Genomic DNA, 20,065 nt, shown 5'->3' on the forward strand with positions numbered 1-20,065 from the left:
TCAGCTTCTTGAATTGATAGGTTTATGTCTTTTGCTAAATTTGAGAAGTTTTGACTGTTACTTCTTCAGGTACTTTTCAGCCCCATTCTATCCACTCTTTCCAGACCTTTGTTGACACTAATGTGAGATCTTTAATTATAGTCTTGTAGGTCCCTGAGGTTTTGTTCTTTTTTACCCACAGATTATTTTCTTTCTGTTGTACAGACTGAGTAATTTCTATTGTTTTATCTTGGAAGTTCTCTGATTATTTCCCTTGTCCCCTCTATTCTGATGTTGAACCTGTTTTTATTTCAGTTATATATTTTAGTTAAAAATTTCCATTTGCTTCTTCTTTATATCTTTTATTTCCTTGCAGAGACTTTGAGTCTCTTCCATTTGTTTAAGCATTTTTAGAATTGTGGTAAAACATACAAAACATAAAATTTACTGTTTTAACCATTTTTAAGTATACAGTTTAATGGCATTAAGGACATTCACATTGCTGTGCAATCATCACCAGCATCCATCTCCAGAACCACCTTCATTTTCCCAAACTGAAACTCTGTACTCATTAACCAATAACTCCCCATTTACCCCTCCCCACAGCCTCTGGCAATCACCATTTATTTTGTGTCTCCATCATCTGACAACTCTAGTCACCACATATATGTGGAATAAGAAACTCCTGTCCTTTTTTGTCTAGCTTATTTTACTTAGGTCTTTAAGGCTTATCTGCATTGTAGGCGTGTCAGAATTTCATTTCCTTTTAAAGCTGAATAATTTTCCATCATATGTATATATCACATTTTGTTTATCCATTCATCAATCCATGGACATTTGGGCCATTTCCACCTTTTGGCTTTTGTGAATAATGCTGCTGTGAACATTGGTATGCAAATATCTCTGAGCCTCTGCTTTTAATTATTTTTGATATATACTCAGAAGTGGAATTACTAGATCATATGGTCATTCAATGTTTAATTTTTTTATTAAATACTGTTTTTACTAATTAAATACTGTCATACTCTTTTTCACAGTGGCTGGACCATTGTACATTTCTTCCAGCAGTACACATGGATTATCATTTCTCAACATCCTCACCAATATTTGCTGTGTTTTAGTAATGGCCAAACTAATGAGTGTGAGGTGGCATCTTACTGTGGTTTTTATTTGCGTTTCCCTAATGATTACTGATGGGAATCTTTTTATGTGTTTGTGGGCCATTTGTATATCTTCTTTGGAGAAATGTCTATTCAAGTCTTTGCCCATTTTTAGAATTGAAGGGTGTTGTTGTTGTTGTTGTTGAATTGTAAGAGTTTTGTTTTTTTTGAGACGGAGTTTCGCACTTGTTGCCCAGGCTGCAGTGCAATGGTGCAATCTCGGCTCACCGTAACTTCCACCTCCCAGGTTCAAGCGATTCTCCTGCCTCAGCCTCCTGAGTAGCTGGGATTATAGGCATGCACCACCTGTAGAGATGGGGTTTCTCCATGTTGGTCAGGCTGGTCTCAAACTCCCGACCTCAGGTGATCCACCCACCTTGGCCTCCCAAAGTGCTGGGATAACAGGCGTGAGCCACCACGCCTGGCCCAAGTTGTAGGATTTTGTACCAGTACCCCACTATCTTGATTATTGTAGCTTTGTAGTAAGTTTTGATATCAGTTAGTATGAGAACTCCAGCTTTGTTCATTTTCAAGATTGTTTTGGAGATTTAGGGTCCCTTGAGATTCCATATGAATTTTAGGATGGATTTTTCTATTACTACTAAAAACACTGGTTCATTGGTTTATGTCAGTCATATCAAAATAAACACATCAGTTTCAGTAGTACTGATTACATTAAGCTTATTAGACTTCACTCATCCCATATAACAGTTCTCAGAGTCCTAACAGGAATCCTATATTTTCTTGTAATTGAAGTTAAATAGAGAAAGCAAGTCAGAAAGAAGAGGACAAAAAATCTAAAAGGGAGTCCAGTGTCACAGAAATTTGTTGAAGGATATGAAGTATAAACTTTTCTTTTGCCACAAAATTAATTTGAAACATATCCTAAGCTTTTTGGTAAGTCATTGGACTTCATATTTGAACTGGTGATAGGGTTGTATGTAACCAAACCTTGAGATCATACAGTGAGCTGTGTTTAATTATAACTCATTATTGTAATTAATCTTACATTGTAGAACTTGACGTCTCGTTTTTCTTTTTAAAAATTGGGCAAGTAGCTGTGCAGTGGCTCATGACTGTCATCCCAGCTACTTGGGAGACTGAGCAGGATGAATCCCTTGAGGCTAGGAGTTTGAGGCTGCAGTAAGCTGTGACCATGCCACTGTACTCAAACCTGGGCAGCAGAGCAAGTCCCCATCTTTAAAATTTTTTCCTTTAATTTAAAAAAAAGTAAAGTTTTTATGATTTTTTTAAATTATAATACATTTCTAAGAAAGACATTGCTAGGCTACTGCTATGTCTTTTTCCAGAATTGTTTCTAGTTTTATAAGCTTAGTCTTGTCAAAATAAACATTTTGGTATATGTTTTGGATAGACTTAGAACAACCTAACAGAATCATATCTGTTATTTTTTTGTCTTCCAGAATGTCTACACAAGGAAGTACAGGATTTGGCTTTTCTAGATGTCGTATCCAAACTTCGCAGTCATGAGAACAAAAGTGTTGCCCAGCAGGCCTCTCTCACAGAGCAGAGACTTACTGTGGAAAGCTGAGAACTGCCCGATACACGGCATCATCCCATCTCTAATTTCCCCTCTGTCCTCCATCCAGCGGCTTCTTCCGCTTCATTCTCTACCATACCACTTGTGCATGCATGTGATGTTCTAATACCAATTGAAGAACCGCTGTAGGTACCTCCCTAATAAGATTTCTAAACCTATAGTTAGTGTGATCATGACTTTGTCAAAGGCAAGTCTCCACCCATAACCGTTCTCTTGTATTCCTGTTGCTTGAGCTACATTAAGTAGAATGTGCATGTTGTAGTCCTATGATGATGTAAACTTGGTACTACATAATGACTTGCTCCACACATGCAGTAAACTACATAATGATGTACTGGTAAACTAGAAACAAAGAATGCAGCAGGATCTGTCTAGCTTATTAAAGATGAAACTGAATTGGAAAAATAGCTCCATTTTTTGGTGCTTGGGAAGCACAGTGACCAAAAAAGTTGTATGGCTGCTTATTCATTAGTCTTTCCTACTGATGTCAAATCCATGGTACCTAGAGTTAAATAAAATTCCAATGCTCTTACTCTTTAACTTCTGGTTTCTCCTTTTTCCTTTTTAGACTATTGAAACTGCCACAAACTTGGCAAGACTTTCTGAGGTTTCTGATTCCATATTTAATTGACTATTATCAATAGCCTGATATTGAAAAACATTTGTAGTTTTCAGTGTGAAACTAAGGGGTTGAAGAATCACTATTACAATCCCTATTACAGAGCATTTCGGGTTTTGCTTGTATTTTAGATTCTGATACATACGCTGTTTCACTCAGGAACTACTTCTACCAGTTAATCAGCATTATCCAGCACTTGTCTTTAAAATTCATTTGGCGCTTGTTTGTTTTCAACTGAGGAAATTGAGTATAGTTCATTGAAGAATGGAATTTTTTTTTTTTTTTTTTTTTTTGCTGTTTTTCATCATTCAGCTAGAAAGTGAGAAGTTTTATCTTCCATAGTCCTTTTAAATCTTATGTTAGAACTAGCAGGACGTAGGTGGAAAGATGAAGAAATAAGCTTGTCTAGACTAAAGAAAGGAAAGCAGGTTATAAAAGCCATAGTAGCCAGTCCAGTTCATTCTGCAGATGGCCCCATACCAATCGCTGTTAGAGTTTGCCACCTCCACTTTCCCACTGAGAACTGCAGCAATTTTAAAGGATATGAGAAAGCCAAGACTCAAGAGATGAGAAGACCCCCTTGGCGAAATATAGTGTACTCTTCACTGCCACTGCCACCACCAAATGGGTTTTTAGAGCTTTGAAACACAATCTTTGTAAATTAATCAAAACCTCCCTGTGACCCACCTGCCTTCTCCCCATACCCAAATTTGACCACTACTGGCCTAAAAGGCAAGATGGGCTTCGATATAGAAGGACTGCAAGACAGTAGAAAGGGCTGCCACGGAGGTGACAGTAGCTCCTTCCTCTCCAACATGTGATGCTACACATCTCTGTGGATAATCTAAGTTGGACTTTTGACTCTAAAACAGCTATAATCCAAGAAAGTTAAATTCTAATGGAGGTAAAGAATCTTGACTGATTGTTCCCTTTGATGTCCAAATAAGGGAACTATTGTGAGTACGTATGCTACACTTACTATAAGAATGATACTGTTTGTTGTCTTTCTCCTGGGCTGGATAGTGGACTATATTTTATTACAGGCTTTGAAAGACATCTGTAATGTTGCATATCTGTTCATATTAATAACTTAATAAATAGTATATGAAGCTATAATGGCATCATTTGGTTTGTTTGTATATTTTGTCTCTATTTCCAGCTCCTAGAATAAGGCTTGCTATTGATGTTCAACAAATATTTGTTGACTGAATGAATGAATCCTGCATCCATGAAGTTTCCAGACTGCCTGAACTAATTCCAGAAAGATAGACTGACTGACTGATAGAAAGTTTGAGATTTGATAGTTTGTCTGACTTTAGGGAAAAAATTTTAACAAAAGCATCCTAAAATCGTAAATGTGAGAGAAGTTACCATCTAGGCCAGCTGCCAGCCATCAATTTGCTAATATGCTAGGAACTCCCATCTCCAGCAAAATAAAGTGCAATTCAAAGTACTCATCATTGTACGGAAAGACCAGAAGGCTGTGCCCTTATCACAGGGGCTACCAAATTAGATGGTACACTGATGTGCCATTGCAGTGGATGGGAGAGTCTACAGACTGTACTCTCGCTTATCTCCTGCTACTAAATCTTAGTCCTAGAGGCCACTATTTATTAAGTTAGTTTGCTACCCACTAAGAGTACATTCTAAGGGAGACAACAGGAGGGAAGAACAGCACAACAAAGCTTTAACTGTCAATCTTGAGCCAGTACTAGAACATAGATGAAAAGGGCAGGAATACAAGCAAAGAAGATGCCTGAGTGCAATGCACTAGAATATACCCCTTTCCCCCCAACCCCATTAGCAACTTGGAGTCATGCCAGCCCACCCACCTAGACCATAACCTCATTGTGCTCAAAGCAAACACTAGCCCATAACCCAGTGTTTTCCATGATAAAAACATGTTTTGAGCATACTGTCTGATAAGAATGGAGACATAGAAGAAAACTTTTTCATCTAAAATGATTTCTTGAATAGAATGCAGTTCTCATATGCAAGCATTAGTCTGAAGTGTTCTGAAAAATGCTACATGTGAAGAATTCAAAAAGAAATGCTCTTTGTTATAATTAGGAGGCTTATTATCTAATTCTCTTGAACATACTGGGTGAGGATATCTAGACATTAAGACATTTAGGTGAGCATTACCCTTTGTATCCAGCTGTTACTGGAATCAGTAAGCTTAAAAGCCACTTAACATTAGGACGCTATAACATTTGTATTACACAAGTGTCTATTAAAAAGCATGTAATAATATTTGGGATGAATCTTTATAGCTGTAGCCAGGAAAACTGAGGTCTTTTTTCACAGGTGTGATCTCTAACTTTGCCTATATACATATAAATAATATGCCATGTAACTTCACTCTGTCGTCCAGGCTGGAGTGCAGTGGCACGATCTTGCTCACTGCAACCTCCGCTTTCCAGGTTCAAGTGATTCTCCTGTCCCAGCCTCCCAAGTAGCTGGGATTACAGGCATGTGCTCTGACGCCTGGTTAATTTTTGTATTTTTAGTGGAGACAGGGTTTTACCATGTTGACCAGGCTGGTCTTGAACTCCTGACCTCAAGTGATCCACCCGCCTCGGCCTCCCAAAGTGTTGGGATTACAGGCGTATGTTTTATAGGTGTGTCTGACTCAAGTTATGTACTTTAAAAGGGTGATACAGTGCAAAGAGTGTGGTCTTTGGATGCTGTCTAATCTATAGTCATATCCTGGGTCTGTTACATACTAGCTGTGTGACCATAGCCAAGTTACTTAAACTCTTTGGGCCTGATTTCTCAATATGACAAGTTTAATAATCCCTACTTCCCTTAGGATTTTCATGACAATTGAACTTTTAGACGTTCAAGACAAGGTGAGATGGAATTGTGATATCTTAGGGCCTAACCTATATACTCCTCTCTCACTGCTGCAGGATTCCCAACTAAAAGGATTCAAAAAACAACCCCCAAACAGCAGACAGTATGCCTATTAATAGTTTGTAATGTAGAAACAAAATGGCTCACACCTGTAATCCCAACACTTTGGGAGGCTGAGGCGTGTAGGTCACTTGAGGTCAGGAGTTCAAGACCAGCCTGGTCAACATGGTGAAACCCTGTCTCCACTAAAAATACAAAAATTAACCAGGCATCAGGGTGCACACCTGTAATCCCAGCTACTTAGGAGGCTGGGACAGGAGAATCCCTTGAACCTGGAAAGCAGAGGTTGCAGTGAGCCGAGATCGTGCCACTGCACTCCAACCTGGATGACAGAGTGAGAGTCTGTCCCAAAATAAAAATAAAATTTTTAATGAAATTGAGCTTTTTAGCTGTAGCCACAGAGATTCTCCCTAACACTTTGAAAATGGACAATACACATCTGTCTCCTATTTATAACACTAGACAGGAACTTAATATGATGACAATTCATTTTTATATATTGGAACCAAATTATCAAACAAAACAAGCCAGGTAGGTACTGCTGCCTGCGGTTCTTCTGACCTTTGCTCTCTTGGTCTGGTGGTCTTCTCTGGTCCACTAGCAGGAGGACCAGAGAAGGTCAGCACCTCTGACCTTGACCTCCCTTCAGGGAGGTTCTGCTCAGCATCTTGGTGCTTAGTTCCTTGATGTCTAGCATAGGCATGTCAGACAGATACCTAAAACACTTAGAACTTAGGAAGGAAGGGATGATTGAATCCAATTCTAAGATGATGTGAGGAAATATTAACCAGAGGAGCTTTGACTTCAGACCCATCTTTGGAGGAACCCAAAATAGTTCCTAATTTCGGCTAAAGCCAACTATCGGTAGGTAGACAGTTCCGTTGCCCCACCCTCCCTTTTCTCAAGTTTCCAGAATGCAACCCACTCTCTACCATGCTTCTCCTACCATGACTTCCTTTTTTGTGTAGGTAAGAAAAGTAGAAGAGGTGTTAATGAATCATATTCTGCTCTTTTCACCCACACAGCCTCATCCCCTAGTACCCAGCAGAAGTTAGAGGAAGTAACACAGCAGAGTGTCCATGTAGATTCATCATATCCCAAAGTAATAACTATTAATTCCTTTGCTTCCCACTCGCCTATTTCTTGTCCTCTTGTTACCCTATCGTGATTGTGAAACACAGTGACTTCCCCTAAGCCACAACAAGTGAGAACAAGATGTTCACTGACCTGAGAAAACCATCTGACAAAAATTCATTTCCTGTTAATGAGAGAACGGCCTCGCATTTGTGTTATAATATGATCTGACAGTTAGTTCATAGAAAGCATGCTTTGTTATACCTGTGCCTAATGTCTGATGCAAAGTTTCAGAATGACCTTCTGGCATGCTTGCCCACAGCAGTTGCCCAGGGTGTATTTACATGGTTGAAGCATTGTGCCATGTGTAGCTATATCCTTTTTTCCCCCCACTTAAGAATTTCTCATGTTACTAACAACTCAAGTTTTTATAAACCTCTTTTTTAATGGCTGCCTATTTTTTGTTCTTTGTTGTGTTCTTTGTGGTTTTGAGATGAGGTCTTGCACAGGCTGGAGTGCAGTGGCGCAATCTTGACTCACCACAGCCGCAACCTGCTGGGCTCAACTGATACACCTCAGCTTCCCTAGTAGCTGGGACCACAGGCATCACTACTATGCCCGGCTATTTTTTTTTTTAAATGTTGCAGAGATGAAGTCTTGCTTTGTTGCCCAGGCTAGCCTTGAATTTCCAGACTCAAGCGATCCTCCCAAAGTGCTGGAATTATAGGCATGAGCCACCATACCCCCATGTTCTTTAATTATATGGCTGTACCAGAATCTTAACCTTTTCCTGCATCTAGACATTCAAGATATATTCTGACTTTTAAAAAACAAACCCCAAATGCTAGGTTGTGTGTGTTTTCAGATGCTAGGGTAGTTCCTCAATTAAAAACTATCTGACTTGCCAGTCCCTCTATTTTCTGCCCCTAATTCTTAAATCAAAGCCCCAATCCTTTCTTCCTCAGAGATCCTGATCAAATTTCTCAGTGAGGCAGAGCTGCCCTGCCCAGCCTCTGTGCAACCCTTCCTGATACACCCTTACTTTTCATCACCTCTTGAACACTCTGCTCCAACCAAGCCCTCCCCACTCTCCCGAGGGAACCCACAACAGCACCTCCTCCTGGGCATCCAAGCGTTACATCACTTACACCCACGCAACATCTACCACCGCCCCATTACCAAATGTATCAGAGTGCGTTCAGAGTGTATCAGAAGAGGTATAGAGCATACCTACAAGTACCTATGGAACTGATGTTTAGCTGATTGGAGTCTAATCACCTCTTAGCACTGCCATCAACTGCTAGCAACATATTTGCGCCTCTAAACAAACCTGTGAACCACCACTCTGATTTCTTCCAAGCTGATCAACACTCTCCAGGCACCACTCACATGGAGAGGGGAGGGAAGGAGTGGAGGGCCTCTTCTTCCACAAGAGTCATCATTAAACACTCTTCATGCTCTTCATGATTCTATCACCTGGCCAATCTGTTTCTTCCTCTATAGACTAGGGATGGCAAACAAACTAGGGGCCCTCACACATGTTGTTTGGGCCACATGGTTGTTGTTTTTTGTTTTGTTTTGTTTTGAGATGGAGTCTTGTTCTGTCACCCAGGCTGGAGTGCAGTGGTGCCATCTCAGCTTGCTGCAAGCTCTGCTTCCCGGGTTCACGCCATTCTCCTGCCTCAGCCTCCTGAGTAGCTGGGACTACAGGTGCCCGCCACCACGCCCAGCTAATTTTTTGTATTTTTAGTAGAGACATGGTTTCACCGTGTTAGCCAGGATGGTCTCAATCTCCTGACCTTGTGATCCGCCCGCCTCAGCCTCCCAAAGTGCTGGGATTACAGGCGTGAGTCACCGCGTCCGGCCTGGTATTTTTTAAAAAAAAAAAAAAGGAAGAAGAAAAGGAGAAAAAATGAATAGCTTTAAACATTTAAAATGTAAGTGATTTTGCATAAAAATCCATTTCTCTGGCTTTTCTTTTAAAATGAGGAGATCTGGAAACCAGGGACTCTACATTTCAGGAGAAGAGCATGTGGGTGGGGCCCCCTTTGGACAGGATATGTCTCTCTACTGGATTAGATCCCCACCTGGCCATTCACCTAAACTGCATAGCCCCTGGAAGCCTATGCATCTGTGACCCTGTGGATGGAGGCTGTCTGCTTCCAGAGCAGGAGAAAGGGAAATGGATTTTTAGGGACAGAGAACAGCACTATGGGAAAGGCCATGTTTAAGGAAGATCCAAATATTTGACCCAAGGTCATTTATATGACCTGTGCAAACTTGCACTGCCTTTAGTCCCCCAGAGAAGACTTGCCATCCTGAGAGTCAGTGACAGCTGCAGTCTGACAAGTGGCAGGAACATGAAAACAGCTGCAAGCCATGCCCAAGCCTGCACTCACCACATCCTGCTGATAGGAGGGAGCTGGTGCTGGCCCTCCTGTTCCCTCTCCTCTCACAGGGCTGGCAGCAGCTTGTGGGACTGCAGGGATTTAGAAAGTCCCTTAGCTGGATCAGGAATATAGCCCTTCTCCTCAGGCCAAAGACATCTTCATCATCATCTTTATCCCATGAGTCAGGGGATCTTATATAATATGGAAGCCTGCTCACCCAGGCTTATTGCGCTCTGCTTTTGGAGGCCTCCCTTTGGAGAATTCCTAACACAGACTCTACCTGCCAACCTCCCAGGCTAACCTGATCAACCACAATTTCCTCTTTATAGCCAACCCCACAGAAATGAGCCTCCTCATTTTAAAGGACTCATATAATTAGAAGTTCTGCTCCATTCCAGCCAAGATTCCAGTGAAAAGAAACATTCTGCTCCTAAATGTTTCAACGACAGCATGTACCGAAGAACAGCATGTTCCCTATATACCCCAGAGTGAGTAAGCCCCAGTGGGCTCAAAGAAAGACCAGATAATTCTCCTTGCCTTAAGCTAACAAGGGTTACATAGACCGGGAGCTAGAGCATGGCAATGGCAGAGGAATAGTTGCCAAACCTTGCGTTTGCTCTGGATGGCCAACCCATAGCCAAAAACATGCCAGAACTCTTACATCCCTACCATATTTGAAAAAAGAATATAGTATCAATAAGTGTTCAAAAAATGTCTTTGTGGCAAATATGAATTATTTCTTCAATATCCAGCTCTCCTTATTAACAGAACCCCGATTTTGTTCAGAGACTAGTACGTCAAGCTTCAAATAGTCCCATTTTCCAGCTTTCCAAGCTAGTGCTACAGTTCCATAGAAATCCCCAGATATGGCATCCTTTAGTAAATAGAAAGGAAAAGACCTGCTGGGCAAATGCTGTTTTGTCCCTTCACCTTTTCCTTTTTTTCCCCTCCTTCTTGCCTCAAATATGCAGCCCTTCAGCAACGATTAGGTAGAAACCTGAGGATGAAGGCCTGTACCTTAAGGACAGTGGAACAGAAAGGTACAAAGAGCCTGGGTCCACAGGAGCATCAATAAGCTGGAGTAGCGGCCCTATGCTGAGAACCCTCATGCTGATGGCAGGAGACACACACCTGACGTTGAAATCCCTCAGGCAGGGTTTTCCATTATTTCAAATGGAATGAAATCTTGATTCATGAAGCTAGTCGTTAATGTATCAAAATCTCCCCTAGGACAATTTGTTCTGCTTAAAGGCCATGGCCACAGACCTCATGACAACAGAATCCAAAGGATTTAAACAACTGGGGCTACCAGTTTTAACCCTCAAAGTTCAAAAATACACCAAAAAGCCTGACTCTCTAACTCAACAGCCTTCCTCACTACCCAAAGATTTACTAAACACTTACTATGTCAGGCACTGTGTTGGAAGAAGATAAACATGAACCTGATTATTGAGCAAACAAGTAAGGGCTTTAACCAAGGCATGAACAGAGTTATGGGGTTCTGTAGAGGTGACTCTGGGTGCTCTGGGCATCTTGGGGCAGAGGGTACATAGGAAGGAAGGGTGGGAGCAAAAGAAAAGGCTAGGAAAATAGAGCAGAAGAGATGGCAGGAGCAGGGAGTAGACATTAGCCATTTTAACTTTGTATTATATAACGGAAAAACCAAGGTTTCTACATAAAAGATGGGTATATTTGCTTTATGTTTTGTTCTAGAATCAGAATTATTGCTAATGGGGGTGGGGCAGGCTAGCAGAAAGGAAATTAATAGGTAATTGTGATGAATTCCTGATGTTGAGAGACAATTCTCGATGGGTATCTTGTATTTCCATACCTCTGTGAAAGACAGCTTCAGCTTTTTCTTTTTAACTACCTTTTCAAGGATCTTTATATGCCAAATAGCCTTGTAAGATAGAGACAGTGTCTCCCTGGGACAGGCAGATTTATTTTTACTGTACAGAAATCAAGATAAGGTCTCCCTCGGGGGCAAAGTTTGGTCAGGATCACTTGCAGGCCCCTTTATGAGACTGGGGTTTCCTAAACTCAGTTCCTTCGCTGGGGCATAAACCTGCTGTGTGTGAAGTATCCATCTGGGCCACTGTTCCCTGTCGGACTTGGGAAGCAAGAGAAACTACTGCAAACATGAGATTCATTTTACCAGGGGTGCATGCATAATAAAGTCCTTTCAGTCTGACCCAGGAGTCTCAGGCCTTCTCTCAGCATCTATGTACCTGTGGCAGGCTAACTTGTTAGCTTGCAAGGAGGGTAAAATCTCAAACACTTCACAATTGTTGATGCCTAAACTAGGATTTTTAGAGAGGAAGGGTCTGGGATACTTTTATGGAGCTAGAGATTGGAAAAGAAGATCATTCTGAAGTATCTGAGTTGGGTGACTGGGCAGAAGATGGTGGTGATGTTAACTAAAAGGAGGAACACAGAAAGGAAAGTGGGTTCCTGTAAAATGAGTTGGCTTTGACACATTTGGTTGGAGATGCCTAGAGGATCTTGAGGAGGAGATAGGCAAGTGGACACGTTCTTATTCCAGCTGAGCCATGAGTACAGGGGTTGCTCCATAAACAAACTGAGCCCCGCAGGCCTCAGTGCTCCCTTTGGCACTTCCTAAACTCACACATCATTGTGTTGCCTCAGGGTCCCCAGGAAACACCAACAATAGATCCATTTTTTTAAAAAGTTTGCTTAAATTAGTCAGACATGGTGGTGTGTGCCTGTAGTCGCAGCTATATGAAAGGTTGAGGTGGGAGGATTGTTTGAGCCTGAAAGGCAGAGGTTGCAGTGAGCCGTGGTCATGCCACTGTACTCCAGACTGGGTGACAGAGCAAGACCCTGTCTAAAAAAAAAAAAAAGTGTGCTTTTCCCAACACTTAGGGAATCAAATCCCTGGAACTGGGGCCTGGGTATCTGAATTTTTTTAAAGCTCCAAAGGTGATTCTGATCTGCAGCCAGAGTAGAAAAACGCCAGCTAGAACCAAGGGCAATGAAATGATACTTTGCTTAAAGTCCTCAGAGTGTGGCCTGGCCAACAAGAGTCCTCACCTTGTTTGGTCAAGTAGGTAGCCATTTCCTGAATTGATACCCCAGGATTTTTGTTCAACGTCCATCCTTTTTGAGGCCACTGAGTTCTGACTCAGAGACTAATAATCACTTGCCAAGTAAAGCACCATACTTAAAGAGATCAGATATCCTGAGCCACCCAGCTCCCAGATGTTGCTGTAAAGGAGACATTATATCCCAGGATGGTTCAGAGATTTTTCTGCTCCCCTAAACTTTCTGGAATCCTGCCTGACACATCCTCTGGATTAATCATCAGGATACCCTCATGCCCAGCATATGGGGCATAGCCCCGGACACAACCATCCCCTACCCCCATCATCCTTATGAAAAGCATGTTCTCTCAGACATCCAAAGTCTTTTGCTGATAGTCTGAGACTTTGAGCTCTTAGAGAAGGCAGAGGGGATGGTCGTGTGCTTGGTTAGCTCATAGCCTTTCTCCTTAGCTTTCCAAGTGCCCATGTGTACCTCATAGCCCTTCCATGTGCTGGCATGACTTCCTCCTATCTTGAAAAGGCTTTTCTCTCCATATGATCATGTCACCAGCAAACAGCAACAGTGTGGCTTCCTCTTTACCAATTTGGATGCCCTTTATTTCTTTCTCTTGCCTAATTGCTCTGGCTAGGATTTCTAGCACTATGTTGAATAGAAGTACTGGAAGTAGGCATCCTTGTCTTGTCCCAGTTCTCAGGGGGAATGCTTTCAACTTCTTCCCATTCAGTATAATGTTGACTGTGGGTTTGTCAGGATGGCTTTTATTACCTTAAGGTATTTCCCTTCTATGCCAATTTTGCTGAGGGTTTTAATCATAAAGGATGCTGGATTTTGTCAAATGCTTCTTCTGCATCTATTGAGATGATCATGTGATTTTTGTTTTTAATTCTGTTTATGTGGTGTATCACACTTTTTGACTTGCATATGTTAAGTATGCAGGGATGCAGAATACATCCCTGGTATGAAAACCACTTGATCATGTTGGATTATCTTTCTGATATGCTGTTGAATTTGGTTAGCTAGTATTTTCTTGAGGATTTTTACATCTACGTTTATCAGGGATATTGGTCTGTAGTTTCCTTTTTTGTTATGTCCTTTCCTGGTTTTGGTATTGGGGTGATACTGGCTTCACAGAATGACCTAGGGAGGATTCCCTCTTTCTCTGTGTTTTGGAATAGTGTCAATAGTATTGGTACCAAATCTTTGAATGTCTAATAGAATTCAGCTATGAACCTGTATGGTCCTGGACTTTTTTTTTTTTCTTGGTAACTTTTTATTACCATTTATCGCTGCTTGCTATTGGTCTGTTCAGAGTTTTTATTTCTTCCTGGTTTAATCTAGGTGAGTTGTATATTTCCAGGAATTTACCCATCTCCTTTAGGTTTTCTAGTTTATGTGCATAAAGGTGTTCTTAGTAGTCTTGAATTATCTTTTGTATTTCTGTGGTATGGATTATAACATCTCCCATTTCATTTCTAATTGAGCTTATTTGGATCTTCTCTCTTCATGGTTAATTTCACTAATGGGCTATCAACTTTATTCATCTTTTCAAAGAATCAGCTTTTTGTTTCATTTACCTTTTGTATTTTTTTGTTTGTTTGTTTCAATTTCATTTAGTTCCGCTCTTTGTTATTTCCTTTCTTCTGCTGAGTTGGGGTTTGGTTTGTTCTTGTTTCTGTAGCTCCTTGACATGTGACCTTAGATTTTCTATTTGTGTTCTTTCAGATTTTTTGACATAGGCATTTAATGCTATGAACTTTCCTCTTATCACCCACCACCTTTGCTGTATCCCAGAGATTTTGATAGGTTGTGTCACTGTTATCATTGAGTTCAAAGAATTTTTTTTTTTTTTTTGAGACGGAGTCTCGCTCTGTCACCCAGGCTGGAGTGCAGTGGCATGAACTTGGCTCACTGCAAGCTCTGCCTCCCAGGTTCACACCATTCTCCTGCCTCAGCCTCCCCAGTAGCTGGGACTACAGGCACCCACCACCACACCCAGCTAATATTTTGTATTTTTGGTACAGACGGGGTTTCACCATGTTAGCCAGGATGGTCTTGATCTCCTGACCTCATGATCCGCCCACCTCAGTCTCCCAAAGTGCTGGGATTACAGGCGTGAGCCACTGCACCCAGCCGAGTTCAAAGAATTTTTTAATTTCTATCTTGATTTCATTGTTGACCCAATGGTCATTCAGGAGCAGGTTATTTAAGTCCCATGTATTTGCATGGCTTTGAGGGTTCCTTTTGGCGTTGATTTCCAATTTTATTCTACTGTGGTCTGAGAGAGTACTTGTTATAATTCTGATTTTCTTAAATTTGTTGAGACTTGTTTAGTGGCCTGTCATATGGTCTATCTTAGAGAATGTTCCATGTGCTGATGAATAGAATGTATATTCTGCAGCTGTTGGGTAGAATGTTCTGTAAATATCTGTTAAGTTCGTTTCTTCTAGGGTACAGTTTAAGTCCATTGTTTCTTTGTTGACTTTCTGCCTTGATGACCTGTCCAGTGCTGTCAGTGGGGTATTGAAGCTCCCCAATATTATTGTGCTGCTGTCTATCTCATTTCTTAGGTCTAATAGAAATTGTTTTCTAAATCTGGGAGCTCCGGTTTTAGGTGAATATATATCTAGGATTGTGATATTTTCCTGTGGGACTAGTCCTTTTATCATTATATAATGTCCCTCTTTGTCTTTTTTAACTGCTGTTGCTTTAAAGTTTGTTTCGTGTGATATAAGTATAGGTATTCCTTCTCATTTTTGGTGTCTATTTGCATGGGACATCTTTTTCTGCCACTTTACCTTAAGTTTATTTGAGTCCTTATGTATCAAAGACTTCAAGAACCCAAAAGCAAATGCAACAAAAACAGAGACAAATAGATGGGACTTCATTAAACTAAAAAGCTTCTGCACAGTAAAAGAAATAATTAGTAAACAGATGACCTACAGAGTGGAAGAAAATCTTTATAATTTATATATCTGACAAAGGACTAATATCCAGAATCTACAGGGAACTCAAACAAATCAGCAAGAAAAAAAAAAACGATAAAAAAGTGAGCTAAGGACATGAATAGACAATTCTCAAAAGATGATATATAAATAGACAACAAGCATATGAAAAAATGCTCATCACCTATGATCAGGGAAATGCAAATCAAAACCACAATGCGATACCATGTTAGTCCTGCAAGAATGGCCATAATCAAAAAATAATAGATGTCGGCATGGATATGATGAAAAGGGAACACTTTTACACTGTTGGTGGGAATGTAAACTAGTGCCACTATGGAAAACAGTATGGAGATTCCTTAAAGAACTAAAAGTAGATCTACCCTTTGATCTAGCCATCTACCCAGAAGAAAAGAAGTCATTATATGAAAAAGATACTTGCATATGCATGTTTATAGCAGCACAATTCACAATTGCAAAAATATGGAACCAGCTCAAATGTGCATCAATTAGTAGATAATGTGGTGTATACACACACACACATATACACACGTATGTATACATACACACCATGAAGTACTACTCAGCCATAAAAAGGAATGAAATGGTGGCATTTGCAGCAAACTGGATAAAATTGGAGACCATTATTCTAAGTGAAGTAACTCAGGAATGGAAAACCAAACATTGTATATTCTCATTCATAAGTGGAAGCTGAGCTATGAGGATGCAAAGGCATAAGAATAATACAATGGACTTTGGGGACTCGGAGGGAAAAGGTGGGACAGGGTGAGAGATAAGACTACACATTGGGTACAGTGTACACTGCTCGGGTGATGGGTGCACCAAAATCTCAGAAATCACCACTAAATAACTTATTCATGTAACCAAACACCACCTCTTCCTTAAAAACCTACTGAAATTTTTGAAAATGAACAAAAGGTTGTTCTCTGAAAAATACATACACACTTCGTGGTGTGTATGTACCAAATACCACATGTTCTTACTTATAAGTGGGAGGTAAATGATGAGAACTCATGAATACAGAATGGAACAATAGACATTGGGGTCTACTTGAGAGTAGAGGGTGGGAGGAGGGAAAGAAGCAGAAAAATAACTATTGCATACTATGTTTAATACCTGGGTGACAAAATAATCTATACAACAAACACCCATGACACAAGTTTACCTGTATAAGAAACCTTCACATGTACCCCAAAACCTAAAATAAAAGTTTTAAAAAGAAAAGTTTGTTCTCCCTTTCCCTTGCAGGGCCCCTGATGGGTAGCCATGTAGTTCAGCACACATATTCTTACTACCATTCGAACCTAAACTAATGAGATTCATAAGAATCTCTACTGGCAATATCATAAGAGTTTTCTCAGCTTAACCTTGATCCCCCTTCTAGTAACATAGCTATTCCAAAATATGGTCATTTAAGGAATCCTTCAAGCCTGGGAGAAACTCAGAATTTATTAGCAAAATAGTTTATTCAAAGGTTGAATCTCTACACACATTTGTTTTTTCTGTTTGATGCTTAAACATAATTAGGGAGTGGAGGAATGTGGAGATGCCCTAGGAGGGTGTATTAGTCTGTCTTCACACTGCTTTAAATAACTACCTGAGACTGGGTAATTTATGAAGAAATGAGGTTTAACTGACTTGCAGTTCTACAGGCTGCACAGGAAGAATGACTGGGAGGCCTCCGGAAACTTACAATCATGACAGAAGGTGAAGGGGATGTGAGCACCTTCTTCACATGGTGGCAGGAGAGAGAAAGAGAGGTAAGGGGCAAGTGCCACACACTTTTAAACCATCATGAGAACTATCACGGGAACAGCAAGGGGGAAATCTGCCCCCATGATCCAATCAGCCCCTGCCACGTCCCTCCTCCAATTCGACATGAGGTTTGGGTGGGGACACAAATCCAAACCAGATCAGAGGGTTAATACATTTGCTGTACTCAGGATGTAGGCCTGAGCTCATGCAGTGTTGACTGACAGATGCCAGGCTCAGTTCAGCTTTAAAAAATACATCTTGGCGGCCAGGCACAGTGGCTCACCCCTGTAATCCCAGCACTTTGGGAGGCCGAGGTGATCAGGAGTTTGAGACCAGCCTGGCCAACATGGTGAAACCCCTTCTCTACTAAAAATACAAAAGTTAGCTGGGTGTGGTGGCACACGCTTGTAATCCCAGCTACTCAGGAGGCTGAGGCATGAGAATTGCTTGAACCTGGGAGGCAGAGGTTGCAGTGAGCTGAAATCATGCCACTGCACTCCAGCCTGGGTGACAGGGCAAGATTCCATCTCAAAAAAACAAACAAACAAAACAACAACAACAAAAAAAAAAGAAAAAAAAACACACACACACACATGCACACACATCTAAAACATCTTACAGGCAGGTAGAAATAGTTACTTTTTTTTTTTTTTTTTTTTGAGCCAGAGTCTCACTCTGTCAACAGGCTGGAGTGCAGTGGCGCAATCTTGGCTCACTACAACCTCCGCCTCCCGGGCTCAAGCAATTCTCCTGCCTCAGCCCCCCGAGTAGCTGGGACTACAGGCATGTGCCACCACGCCCAGCTAATTTTTGTATGTTTTACAGAGATAGGGTTTCACCATGTTGGCCAGGATGGTCTCGATCTCCTACCTCGTGATCCGCCTGCCTCGGCCTCCCAAACTGCTGGGATTGCAGGCGTGAGCCACCATGTTTGGCCAGAAATAGTTATATTTTACAAAATAGAAGTCTGTCTTTTAGGTGAGCATATGCTCGCTATCTAAAACAAAGTTATGCTCAATATCTTGTAACATGCTCAAAGAAACAGCCTAGCTGTCTTAGTTCAGGCTGCTATAACAAATTACCATAGACTGGGTGGGTTAAAGAAACATTTCTCATGGTTCTGGAGGCTGGGAAGTCCAAGATTAGGGAGCCAGCATTGTTGGGTTTTTCATGAGGCCCCTCTTCCTGGTTATGACCTCAATGGCCTCCTTGGTGGGTACATCAAGAGGAGAGAGAGAAGAGAGAGAGGAGAGAGAGAGAGGAGAGAGAGAGAGAGATCCCATCATGAGGGCTCTACCCTCATTACTTCCTCTAATCCTAATTACATCCCAAAGGTTCCACCTCCAAATACCATCACATTAGGGACTGGGGCTTCAACATATGATTTTAGGGAGGACACAAACATTCAGTCCATAGCGCTACCAAACATCTGGGTGCTAGAGACATAGAGGTTAACAATACAGGCCAATTCCATGGAGCTTGCATTTTAACAGAAAAGATGCCATTCGAGTTAGTTTAGGTGTGATGAGTTCTTCTAAAGAGAAAGTTGCAGGAACACATCTTAGTGGGGTGGAGAGGGGCCAAGTTCTGAGAGGACCTCCCTCAAAGTCATTTCAGGTGAGATCTGAGGAATAAATGAGATTTAGAGAAAAGCATTTCAACCCTTTTAATCTTAGCAACACCCCTATGATATAGATATTACTATCTCTAGCTTATAACACACTACATCTTATAAGGGAAGGCATCAAGGATGGGAAAGATAAGTTGTCTAAGGCCATGAAGTAAGCAATGGATAAGCTCTAAGTGTCACTCAGGTCTAACTGGCACACAGACTAGTCTGAGACTTTCTTACGACCCGAACTGTTTTGGATTGTTTTGAATTTTGGAATACAGCTGACCCTTGAACAACATGGGTTTGAAGTGAATGAGTCCATGGGTACATGGATTTTCTTTCTTCTCTGCCATCCCTGAAACAGCAAGATCAATTCTTCCTCTTTCTGCCCCTCCTCAGTCTTCATCCTCCTCATATTCATGTAGAGGAAGCTGAGGAAGGGAAGAAAGAGGAAGAATTGATCTTGCTGTTTCAGGGATGGCAGAGAAGAAAGAAAATCCATGTACACGTGGACTCATTCACTTCAAACCCATGTTGTTCAAGGGTCAGCTGTAATCCAAAATTCAAAACAATCCAAAACAGTTCTGGTCCTAAGAAAGTCTCAGACTAATCTGTGTGCCAGTTAGACCTGAGTGACACTTAGAGCTTGGCTGCTGCTTACTTCATGGCCTTAGACAAGTTACTTTATCTTTCCCATCCTTGGTGCCCTCCCTTGTAAGATGTAGTATGTTATAAATATATAAATATATATATCACATGAAATGTGTGTTAATTGACTGTTATAGGTAAGGCTTCTGGTCAACAGTAATTAAGTTTTGGGGAAGTCTAAAGTTATACAGGCATTTTGACTAAAAAGGAGGTTGGCATCTTTACCTTCTGCATTATTGAAGGATCAAAAACATTTGCATTATTCTTGCCATTTCGTTGAGCATTCATAATCTGAAAATCCAAAATCTGACATCTCTAATGAGCA

General features: G+C 41.1%; 1 protein-coding gene across 12 annotated transcripts in view; it reads left to right on the forward strand.

The window, feature by feature from the left end:
• Positions 1-4,432, forward strand: part of RAP1GDS1 (Rap1 GTPase-GDP dissociation stimulator 1) — a 182,475-nt gene extending 178,043 nt beyond the window's left edge. For all 12 annotated transcript variants that reach the window (NM_001100426.2, NM_021159.5, NM_001100428.2 and 9 more), the window contains one exon: positions 2,564-4,432. In NM_001100426.2, coding sequence (NP_001093896.1) covers positions 2,564-2,691 — 128 coding nt within the window. In that variant the 3' untranslated portion in view covers positions 2,692-4,432. The remainder of the gene's footprint in view (positions 1-2,563) is intronic.
• Positions 4,433-20,065: the final 15,633 nt, after the last annotated feature.

The sequence above is a fragment of the Homo sapiens genome, chromosome 4 (assembly GCF_000001405.40).
Source record: "Homo sapiens chromosome 4, GRCh38.p14 Primary Assembly".
Classification (NCBI taxonomy): Eukaryota; Metazoa; Chordata; class Mammalia; order Primates; family Hominidae; genus Homo; species Homo sapiens.